Consider the following 12,983-nt stretch of genomic DNA (forward strand, 5'->3'; position numbering starts at 1 on the left):
AATTGTCCATTAATTCAGAATACTTCCAGGTCCAGCATTCTCACCTGCTTATATAGAGCTGTGTCTATAACCAGATAGCCTTTGTCAACCAAAGACTTGGGGTAGAATGAGTTTTCCTTGAACTTCATCACCTTTTTATGATGGCATTCAAGAAACACCCTTGTCTCTATTAGTCTTCAGGGTTGCTGAGATATTGTTCCTTGTTTCTGAGTGCAAGGACTTTCTGGGTCTAGCTCTCTTTTAACCCCTTTTGAACCACACAGAGGGTTACCTGAAATATCTTCAGGTTGCTTGAAGTTTCTTTACCATTCTTATAATACAGTGCTCTAGCATGCATAAGCGGAGTAGATACAACTCTGAGGACCTTGTGCCCACAGCCATTCCATGGCATGAGAGGCCTTTCTCTTGTCTTTTCAGGTTCTAACTAAAAAAGGGGCACTGATCCCCTCTACTATTAAGAAGAGCTCTAAAATGTTATGGAATTACCAAGCCAGGGCCCCTACTACAGAGAGAGGATGCTTTTTTTTTTCCTTTCATGACTGTCCTCTTTTTCCCTTTGGTCTAGGAAAAGTATTTCTAGTAATGGGGGCAAATTTGACTGATTAGGAAGACATTAAAACAATTTTAATACTATATCCAGACCTCAGATTTTGAAAGTCAAGTACCAAAAGTTTAATTTATTTAATTCTTCATTGAGTGGTAACATCTCCTTGAGAAATAAATGACTTATAGTTTAGCTTGTGGAATAGGAGAATGACATAGGGTTAAAGAAATATGGATGGAGGGATATTCACATCAGTAAATATATCAAAATATAACTCCACCAAATAATGCACATTTTTAATTGTATTAGTTTAACTGACCCCTACTTTTTAAATTTGGTTAAACACAATAGCTAGATATAGAACATAATAGTGTACAGAAATAAAATGATTTTGGATGGTAATTTGGTATTTACTCACTTTGATCATAGATAACCTACGAAATGTTAAAAAAAAAAAAAAAAAGAAAGAAAGAAAAGAAGTGCTTCACTTTCCACATCTGCAAAACGAAGGTAATAACACAAGCATGTTAACCAGGGTAATATTGAATTCTGAAGGAATAAATGTTAGAATACAGATAAAGAATTTTGGCAATATTAATTACTGGCAGCTATGTCACCTAGCACAACACACACATGTTTATAGGAGACTTTTGCATAGAGGTGTTAACAGATTGAAACTGCATATTCAACAGGATATTTTAGAATAGTCTATTAAGAAGATGATTTTTAGTGTAAAATTGTGCTATTTCTAATTACTGAGTGCCCTTAATCCTGTTATACTACATTATTGTTCTATACTTTAATAGCACTTAATACTGTGTACGTTTTTACTCCTCATTTGATAATTGTGTCTCTCACCCACCAGAATGGAGGCCACATAAACAAAGGGACTTTGTTATGTTCCTTCTTGTCCCCAGTTCCTGGTAGAGAATACATGATTAATATTTGCTTATTGAAAAAATAAATAAATTAACTTTATATTTGAAAAACTTAAACACCCAAAATACACAGAATATAAGAAATACATCTGTATGTGGTTGTTAATGAAATTCATATAATGGTGAACATGTAACATTTAAACTTTAAGAGAAAACAATCTAAGCTTGTTCAACTAATCACTTACCAGTTGTCACTAAGTAGAGGTTTGATAGAGCCAAACCTCTACCTAGTGCTAAGGGGCAGAAGCCTCTTTTCTGGTAGCTCTGAAACTTTATTTACCTGAGTGAATTCCTCCCACCACACCAACACAGTGAATTTTATACAGTGAATTCGAAAGCGTAGTAGTTTCACAAGTAGAAAACATCTGCACTCACTGGGTTAGAATCTCTACATTTTACTTTAGCCTACTGTTTTTTTTTTTTTTTTTTTTTTTTGAGACAGAGTCTTGCTCTGTGGCCCAGGCTGGAGTGCAGTGGCGAGATCTCGGCTCTCTGCAAGCTCCACCTCCCAGGTTCACGCCATTCTCCTGCCTCAGCCTCCCGAGTAACTGGGACTACAGGCGCCCGCCACCACGCCGGGCTAATTTTTTGTATTTTTCGTAGAGACGGGGTTTCACCATGTTAGCCAGGATGGTCTCGATCTCCTGACCTCGTGATCTGCCCACCTTGGGCTCCCAAAATGTTGGGATTACAGGCGTGAGCCACCACGCCCAGCCTAGCCTACTCTTTTAAGCATTAGCAAATAAGAACAGAAGAGTAGTGGAAATGTAGTCGATAAATGTAAATATATAATATTGCTGATTTTTGAGCAACTGCAGAAGATGGGTAACTCTATGTGACCTAAATGTTAGAATCCACATTTTAGGAAAGAGATAGATGACTTACAGGAAACTTGGGCTACATGTACCACAGTTACAGATCTGCACACAAGAAGGAAACAGAGTATCAAGAGATGAAACTATGAGCCAGAAATAGAATGCTTAAGTGGAATCTTAAGAAAGATGGATATTATATATGAGATTCAACAGGCAAAGACAGAATGGAGGCACCCAGACACAAACAAGAATGCCATGAAGTACAGTCAGGATCATTCTGGGAGTGTTTGAAGAATTGAACAATAGTATGCTATTAAATGGCTCGTGGAAGAAAACAAAAACACCATTTGTAGCACACCAATTTCCATGATATTAATATAACCACCAAGCCCCATGTCAAGGTAAGAATGTTATTAGTTAGATCATGAAGTTCCTGAAAATTTGTCATCTAGCTCTTGAAAACTGCTCCTAGCAGGACAACACACACACTGTGGAAATAATCACATTTAGGTGAACATGTGGTATGAGGGTCTGGCTAGAAATATAAGTAGAGAAATACTGAACTTTAGCCTAATGAATTCAGACTAAAGAATTGCTCTTTATTCTGTAGGAAATAATGACCTGTAGTAGGCTTTGAGTGGTGTCATGTGTTCAGAACAGACTGTTTACAGACTTTATAATGTTAGCATGAGGTTAATGAATTATAAACTAAAAAGCTAAAATAGAGCCATATATTTCAGATTGCCAGAGGAAGTACACACTGAATGTATAAATGTATTTAATGGGAAATAAATTCCTTTCATCATTTTCCTTTTCCCTCTAGTGATATCTCTTTGAAATAAGATCTTGTATTAAAATAGATATTTTACTCCATTCCCTTACTTTCCTCTAACTGTACATTAAACTTGCTTTTTAAAGAGACTATACTTGCCTTAGCATAATGTAATTCTCCTATTTTAGAAAAAAAGAGAAACATTAAAGTGTTATTTTGTTTGACTCTATATCTATCAATAAACTCATTTTTAGATAACAGTTCTGGTTAGTTTTGTTATGTTTTTTAGAACCTAACCATCCCTGAACTTGTATAGAATCTCTGGGTGGTAGGAGTAGGAAGGGAAAAACACACACACACACACACACCACACACACACACACACACACACACACACACACACACACACACACACACATCAGAGGCAACTATAGAAAAGAAGAAAAGATAAGCAACAGAGACATCCTTCTCCAGGGAGTTGTTTGTGTTTTCCATAAGGAAGCCCATTTCTTAACCTCCAAGATGTGAAAATCCCTGTTGACAAATGCTGGCTGTTTGATATTCATAATTATTTACATTCTGCTTCTTATTTGTCCCAGATTAATGTGAACTCTTTAGACTTTGAGAGCTAAAGTAAATTTTGGTACCTTTCAGGAATTTTCTTGGAATCTATATGCTCTGACATATGACAGGTCTGAAATCTATCTTCTTAATAACTTTAATAGTCTTACTCAGAATTTAAGCAACTCTTTCATTAAAATGTTCAGCTCATCAAGTCATGATAAGTAATTTAAAAACTCCTTCACTTCTTTCCTCGATGAAAGGCATGCAGAGCATAATTGGGTGCTATTGTGGTAGACAGCATTTGGTGTGATTATTCTTGACACTTTGCTTATCACAGTACGATCTTCAGATAAATAAAATAACAACTCACTTCCCTTCACAACAAAGAATATACTCAGAGATAACAATGATTGGGGAATTTTGAAAACTCTACTAGATTCATATGTTAATGAACAGCTGTGATGTTTCCCAGACACATTACTAAAGCGAAGACAATTCCCAGGTTTCCGTATAATCTAAAACTTTTATGAAAACTCAAACTAAGAGTTGAAAGCAAAAATGTCAGTAGTTTCCACAATAAGTTCATACACCTTTGTGGTTCCAAGTTGTCACTCTGCTTGGTTGAGGAAGCCCAAATGTTGCAACAATCTTTGTATTGATCTATTTTACATTCTTTTACTTTAGAAAAGAAGTCTCCATATACACAGCACCGTTTCATTTGCTGTAATGGTTTGTTGTACTGAAACATCAAAAGCGAAAATGAAGGTACATCAGGAAAAAAAGAATAGTGTTTAAAATAACAATAATGTTGTCCATGTACTTTTAAATTCAGTAGGCCATGTATTCATTCACTCCCTCCATGCAGCAAGGAATTCTTACTATGTAAGGCCACTGTAATTAGTAAACAGATACAAAGATGATTAAGGGCCCTCAAAGAGCTCTCAGACACCTATTTTCAAAAATATATTCCCTGCCATCACAGATTTTATATGTTAGTTGGGGAGACAATACATATGCAGGCGAAATGTAAAATAACCACAAAAATTTTGAAATTAGATACATTCTTGTATTTTCTTCTGTGACTAAGTCCTCTTGGGAATAAGACTAAGGATTTGTGATTGCCACCTGCCCTCTTTTTAGTATGAATTAGCATAAACAAGTGATTCAGAAACAAATATTACTGCTTTTATATCAGGCTAGGATATGTTCCCCTTGATTCACTTCAACTTGGTCTCACTGTTAATATGGTTTGTAAAGATTCATTCACTCTGACATTCACACTGATAGGAGGAGTGCAGTGAAAGGCAGTTCAAATATTTCTCATTGTCTGTTCAGTCTGCTGTGCCATGAATATATGAATGCGTCCAAATGATGTTAATCAAGCCTACCAAATAGCCGGTGCCATGAGAAACAGAACTCTTTCTCGAGATTTACATACATCCACTACTATTGGATTTGGAAAAAAAAAGAAGATATTTCAAAAAGAGGTATAAATCTATAAGTTTATAGTCATTGCAGTTTGTTCCAGGTCTAGAGACCTGAAATATTTATCAACAAACCACAATTACAGGTTAGTCATGGTATAACTTTGCCACGTAACTTAGGCATCGTTTTAGTTGTATCTTTTATTAGTTTTTAAGAATAAGTGTTACCTATTCCATACTGTCTTTGCATTGAAGGCAGGGATGGTTATGGATATACTACCTTCTGCAGAGTCAAATACAAATGGTGTGAATTGTGTGTTCCCACTTACATGTGGATCTTTTTCAAGGTATGCATTAAATTTTTTTTGAAGATTTACAACAATTTTAAAAAAACTCACAGATAAACTGTGAGCCTAGAAATATAAAAAAAAAAAAAACCAAGAAAAAATTAGGTATGGCATGAATGCATGACATCTATGTAGATACTAGTTTATTTTATTATTTGCTACCAAAAATATGCACACATTTATTATAAAAAGTTAAGATATATGAAAACTTACACACACACACTTAGAGATCAAACATGGCACAATTCACAGTTGAAAGCAGTGTAAACAAATGTAAAGATGCACTATTAAATCATAACTGTATAAAATTCACTGTAGGCCATGCTGTGCTACAGTAATAATTTCATGGCCACCTCCTGCTGCTATTGTGGTGAGTTCAAGTGTTGCAAGTGCCTGCTTAAAAGGCCTTGCGATGTTAATCACATCTGCATGACCAATTCTTCTCCCCAGTAAATGCGTATTGCTGTAAAAATTGATATTTTGTGATTCTTGTGTATTTTTAATCATTTTCAGTGCAACACCATAGACCTTGAATAACATCATGGGACCCACATGAAGTGCCACTAGTGATGCTGGAAGTGCTCCCAAGATATAGAGAAAATTCATGACTTACAAGAAATAGTTGAATTGCTTGACCTGTATCATGGATTAAGATCTGCATCTGTGGTTACCCACAATTTCAAGATAAATAAGTGCAGTGTAAGGACTATCATAAAAAAAGAAAAGAATTTTGTAAAGCCATCACTGCAGCTATGCCATCAGGCATGAAAACCTTGCACTTTTTGTAAAACTCCTTTTTATCTCATAGTGAAAATGCAGCTTTTATGTGGGTGAAGGATTGCTATAAGAAAGGCACACCTATAGACGTTAATATATTTTGAGAAAAAGTGAAGTTATTTTATGACAATTTAAAGCAAAAGGAAGGTGAAGGGTCTAAAGCTGGATAATTTAATGCCAGCAAAGGAATCTTTGATAATTTTAGAAAGAGATTTGGCTTAAAAAATAACAAGATAATAGAAGGAGATTCTGCTGACCAAGAGACATCAGGCAAATTCCCAGTCACCATTAAGAAAATCATTGAAGAGAAAAAAACAGCCACCTGAACAGGTTTTTAATGCAGATAAAAGTGTCCTATTCTGGAACAACAACAACAAAAAAGCCTTAAATGACATTTATTAGAAAGGAAGAGAAATGGATTTAAGGCAGGAAAGAAGAGGCAAACTCTACTGTTTTGTACAAATGCAATTGGGTTTATGACCAGGGCTGCTCTTATCTCTGATGCTGCTAACCCCCAAGCCTTGCAGGAAAAAATAAACACCACCATCCAGTCTTTTGGTTGTAAAAGAAAGCCTAGACAATGAGAACCTTTTATCTAGATTGTTTCCATCAAATGATTTGTCCCTGTGGTCAGAAAGTACCTTGTCAATAAGAAACTACTTTTTAATATTTTTTTATATTGAACAATACCCCGGGCCCGGAATCTTATGACTTTAACAACAAAGACATCAAAGTAATCTGCTTGCCCTCAAACACAATTCCTCTAATAATTATTCAGCCTTTCCATCAGGGGTTATAAGGGTCATTAAGGCTCACTACACACCATACTCTATGGAAAAGATCATCAGTGCTATGGAAAAGAACCCTGATAGAAAGAGCATATTATGAAGATGCCATTATTGTTATAGAAAAAGTCATGAAAGCCAGCAAGCCCTAAACAATAAATTCCTGCTGGAGAAAGCTCTGTCCAGCTGTTGTGCAGATTTCACAAGATTTATAACAAAGCCAATCGAAGAAATCATGAAAAAGGTTGTGGATATAGCAAACAAACAAACAAAATATGGGGTGGGGGAAGGATTTCAAGATATGAATCTTAGAGAAATTTAAAAGCTAATAGACACCAGAGAAATGAACAGAAGACACCTTGTGGAGATGAGTGATTTTGAACCAATTCCAGACAATGAGGAAGAAGATGTAGACGCAGTGCCAGAAAACAAATGACATTAGACAATCTGGCAGAAGGGTTCTGATTATTCAGAACTGTTTGTGACTTCTTTCACAACATGGATCCTTCTATGATATGGGCACTAAAACTAAAGCAAATTGGTTCTGTAAACATTTTTAGATAAATGGAAAAAGAAAAAAGTCCTATGATATGGGCCCTGAAATTAAAGCAAATGATGGAGATCGGTACTGTAAACATTTTTAGATAAATGAAAAAGGAAAAAAGCCGACAGGAATTACAATGCCTTTCATAAAGTTACATCTAGTGTGTCGGCCTCCCCTGCCTCACCTTCCACATCCTCCATCTCCTAAACCTCTTCTGCCTCTGCCACCCGTGAGATAGCAAGACCTACTCTTCCTCCTCCTCAGCTTACTCAAAGTGAAGATTATGAGAATGAAGAACTTTATAATGATCTACTTCCACTTAATAAATAGTACATATATTTTTCTTATGGTTTTCTTCATAGCACATCTTTTCTCTGTATTGCTTTATTGTAAGAATGCAGCATATAGTACATATAACATAAAATATCTGTTAATTGACTATGTGTTGATAAGACTTTAATCAACAGAAGGATATTAATACTTAAGTTTTGGGGGAGTCAAAAGTTATATGCGTTTTATTTTTTTCTGTATGGGAGTGGGGTTTGTGCCCCTAACCCTTAACCATTATTCAAAGGTCAACTGTAGTCTTAGTAAATATTTGCACCGGCTTAATTTCATGGTAGAAGTGTTTTTAACGATTTCTTCTGTTGAATATTACTTAGTCAGTTGCTTCTCCCTTCTTTCTTCACTTTCAACTCATCCATTTCCACTGATGGCTTTTCTAAAACTGTAAAAATGCTAAAAATTATTCCATATTAAAGAATTTTGTTTCCAGGGAGACCTTGATTTTGGTCTCTCCAGCTCTTGTGCACATGCATACACACACATGCACATACATGCTCCTTTTATGTTTTTCTCTCTGCCCAAAATCAGGGTCTCTAAGAAATAGCTCACTTGTTCACTGAATGAATACTTCATGGAATCAAATGTGGCAAAATCTCGAATGGTATTCTAATTACCTAATTCAGTATGCTCCTTTTAATTCTTTAATTTGACCCTGTGTCATCTGAATATGTTGGTCATTTCTTGAAATCAATGTATGTGAGAAATTTATTCCATTCTAATTATCTTCTTTCCTCTTATTCTTTCTATATTATTATCTTTACTAATCCATTATTTGCCAATGTCTTAATCTGGTATCTCCCAGATGTAATCCTTGCCCTTCCCCTTGGCAGTAGCCTTCATTCAAGTGACTTCAACCATCACCAGCAGATCTAAATCTAAAATGCATATCAAAATACAGGGAATTTTTTTCCAAATACAATCTTGCATCTCTCTGCTAGGTCAATAATTTTGACTGGGGCTATTTTTTTCTGGGGAAAAAAAAGCCTAAGTGATTTTAATATATTTTCCTTTGGGAGAAGCCCTGATATATATGATTAATTCTTTAAGCTCTAAACCAAAAGGTTTCATTGCCTGCTGGGTATATTCACTCTAAGGACCCATAGATAGTTCGAAGTTATATTTATGTAAAGCAGAAATCATCATCACCTCAAATACAAAGCTATTGAATCTTCTATATTTCCTAACTCTGTCATTATCCATACAATAACTCAAATCAGAAACTTGGAGGTGTAATTGGCTCCTTCCTACTTCTCATCAGATCTTGTGAATTCTATCATCTTAACAAATTTCATATGTATTCCTTTACATTCCTACTGCTACTTTTTTTTTTTACAATTTTCATTTTTTGTGAATGTCATTTATTCTCACTTTACTTTTACAGACACACCACTTTCAGTATTCAAGTCAAACTCAATCTCCCAAGACTTCCCTCTTGACTGTCCCATATACATCATACACTGCCCTCTTTTCCCTAAAGTCATATTATTATCTTTGAATCTCAGTATATTCTTTATGTTTCTACCATTTTATCTGAAATTCTTCAAATATGTATTGAATATCTCTTTTTAATAAACTCGATGTGCCTTGATGCAAGTCATTATTAGCTTTTGGGATTTCCATTAATTAACAGAATTTCTGATGCCTATAGAGCCGTAAACAAGTGTTTGTTATGTCTAGTTGTGCATACATTTGTACGTGTGTGTTTAATATTCACATGGATGTGACTAAAGATCTAATGTCTTTACAATGCATCATTTTATACATTATTTATAGCTTTATACATATCTTTAAAAGAGATTTGGTGTTGAATAGGAATATTTTTATATATATTTACTCTCTGAGGTTGAGGTGTTATTTTCAGTTAATATATGAACATCAAAGTGTAAAGCAAACTTACAACTTATTCAGTGTAACATAGTAAATCATTATTAAAGTTAGAAAGATGTCTATAAGGCTTTATATCTAGTGCTATTTCAAATTAAATAATAAGGTCGCAAATATTAGAAATACCAAAACATTTGCCACCGATCTAACTGTGAGATTCAGGATAATTTTCAAAGGCTCCAGTAAGGTTGTGAGTGCCTCCATTTATATTCTGCTTGAGTATTTAAAACCATTTAAAACCACCTGTTTGTGCATTCAGTTTCTCATGTTGCACACATAAATGTGAGTTTTTGCAAGCAAAAACAGATGCATTCCTAAAATGTGTCAGCACATTTTCAAAAGCCTACTGAAAATGTGTCCTCATATGTCTGCAGACTTTGTTATAACTTACATCAGTGAGCTGTATAAATTGGTTTCTTGAATATCCATTAATGCAAATTACCAGGCCAGGAAAACATCACACAAAGATCTGTAAAATCTCACAAAATATAACATCTTTCCTAGGAAGGAGATAAAAAGAACAAAGTTATGTTAGCATTTTTTATCCTAAGGTAATCTTGGAAGTAAATGTGGCTTACCCACAAATTCACCAGCTGACGTTGGATAAGGAAAAAAAAAATATATATATATATATACACTTTCATTGTTAAAAAAGTATGGAAAATATCTTTCCATTAGTCTTATTATAAATAAACAAATTCAGGAAAAAAAAGTGGAAGATTGGGATATGGAAGGATGATTAGTTCTTTGGGGCAAAACATCTCTTAGAATGTATTGCAGAAGTTTCATTTATGATAGAGAAAATGAAAAGCAAGGATAGTCAAGCTGTAAGTACCATTTGTCTTTCCTTAGTAAGTAGTTCTCATACAAGGTCTTTTTGGTCTAAACCTACCTAAATTGCTACTAGTACTAGCAGGGAAAAAAGGTTACCAATTCCTACAAAATTCACTAATAGATAAACAAGATGGGTTTGACTGTGCCTTTCAATCTCCAGTGGCAAGCAGGAGCATACCACTTGCCTCACTCTTGTCTCTGAATCCTTGCTCTACCAAATTCCTGAAGAAAATTATCACATCTCTCTTTTTTCTTCCATATTTTTGTGTTATTTTCTACTGCATCTTTACATTCTATCTTTAAACAGATGCAGTATCATATGAGTTCTTTTTATTTTTTTCCAATTATAATATCTGAGATGGTTATTTTTATTTTTTTTCAAATGTAGTATCTGAGATGGTTAATTTTATCTGTAATCTCAGCTTGGCTACAGGATGCACAGATATTTGATTAACATTATTTCTGGGTGTATCTATGAGAGTGATTCTAGATGGCATTAATATTGGAATAGGTAGATAAAATAAATTAGATCGTCTTCCCCATTGTGGATGGGCCTCTTTCAATCCATTGAAGGGCTGAATAGCATCAAAAAGCTGAGTAAGAATTATCCTTCTATATCTGACAATTTTTTTGCTGGGACATTGGTCTTCTCCTACCTTCAAACTCAGACTTGAGCTGGAACTTACAATGGCCGTTCTGGGTCTCTAGCTTGTGAACTGAAATCTGGGGACTTACCAGCCTACATAATTGTAAGTCAGTTTTTTTTTTAATAATAATTTCTGTTAAACTATTAAGAGAGAGATTAGACAGACAGATAGATAAAGATAGATTCTATTGCTTCTAATTCTATTTTACTAAAGATTTTGGTACTAAAAAGTGGTTCTAGAGAAACAGAATGTTAAATCTGTATTTGCTTAATTGATTCTGGGGTTTGTGAATTGGCTATTTAACTAGATTTAAAAATACTGACTCATGGTGGCTCACGCCTGTAATCCCAGCACTTTGGGAGGCCGAAGCAGGTGGATCACGAGGTCAGGAGATCGAGACCATCCTGGCTAACACGGTGAAACCCCGTCTCTACTAAAAATACAAAAAATTAGCTGGGCGTGGTGGCGGGTGCCTGTAGTCCCAGCCACTTGGGAGGCTGAGGCAGGAGAAGGGTGTGCACCCAGGAGGCAGAGCTTGCAGTGAGCTGAGATCGCACCACTGCACTCCAGCCTGGGTGACAGAGCAACACTCTGTCTCAAAGAAAAAAAAAAAAAACTGATTCCTCATTTTCTAGTAGAGTACTGATAGTCTATAGTATAATATGGCAATAAAGATATACCAAGTATCTCTATTGTATACTCCTAATCAACCACTTGGAAGAAGAAAGGAACTGGGTCACTGGATATATGACACTTTCAAACATTTTTAGGAAATTGACAAATATAATGAGCTTGGCTGGCCTCTCTTAATGTTGCTGGACAAAGTGGTAAAATAAAAAGATGAGCTCAGGAATTTCAATTTCCAGCTCAAGTGCTGCATGAATAACCTAAAACCTTCTATGTGTGCTCTGAAGGAGACCCCTCTCTCCTGCAGGCACACAATCTCATTCTGTAACTGGCTGAATTTCAAGCTGAAGTTCCAGCATTGCAGAGTGTCTACTATTGAAGTGAGGGCATTCAATGGAAAAAAACAAGATCTTGTAAGTAGAAATGGGGATGTGTGGGAAGATCTTGATAAAGCAGTGGACACTGAACCCCTAAATTCTAATGACTCTTTTTCCCTCCAGTGGAAAATGCCTCTCTACCTACCCACTCTCAGTGATAGAAGCTTCCTCTCCACCCCAACCTAAGAGGATTAACCACTGCATTGCCTGAGGGAACTATAACAGCCTTCCCTGAGGAAGCTGCCATGCAAGACAACGCTGATTTTCTTCAGAATCCACTCACACTAACCTTTATTTCTTCTAGACTTATAGGTAGACTCAAGTCCCATCAGGGTCCTGAAACTGAGGTAAAATGTGTGAACCATGAAAAGGTGCACTACACACCAAATTACTTGAATTTTCTTATTTATAGAGCAGAAATCTGGGGAACATGTATGTGAATGAATGTTATGGGCTTGGGCTATTGGTGGAAGGAAAATCAAATTTGAATGGAATGAACTTATTGATATGGTCTCACTAAGCAGATATTCTGCATTTAATGTGGAAGCTCAGGGATTTAAAAAGGTTTCTAACAATTTGTTTGGTTGATTGGCTGAAGTATAGACCAAAAGATGGTCTGCAGCAAATGAACTGGCAATGCTGGACTGCATTGGTTTAGTGTAGAGAAAAGAATTCAAGAAGATTAGAATGTTAGAGCAGATGTTTCATTTAAGACTTACTCACCCACACTAGGGTGGGTCCATACCTAAGGTCCATACT

The 12,983-nt window shown here is 35.5% G+C and overlaps 1 annotated feature.

The window, feature by feature from the left end:
• Window positions 3,794-4,295: an enhancer, noted in NCBI's record as "NANOG hESC enhancer chr6:94799618-94800119 (GRCh37/hg19 assembly coordinates)". NCBI's record gives its function as "activates a minimal SCP1, AML or CMV promoter by ChIP-STARR-seq in naive H9 embryonic stem cells {active_cell/tissue: H9 hESC(naive)}" and the evidence as "EXISTENCE:reporter gene assay evidence [ECO:0000049][PMID:30033119]".

Source organism: Homo sapiens, chromosome 6, assembly GCF_000001405.40.
Source record: "Homo sapiens chromosome 6, GRCh38.p14 Primary Assembly".
Classification (NCBI taxonomy): domain Eukaryota; kingdom Metazoa; phylum Chordata; class Mammalia; order Primates; family Hominidae; genus Homo; species Homo sapiens.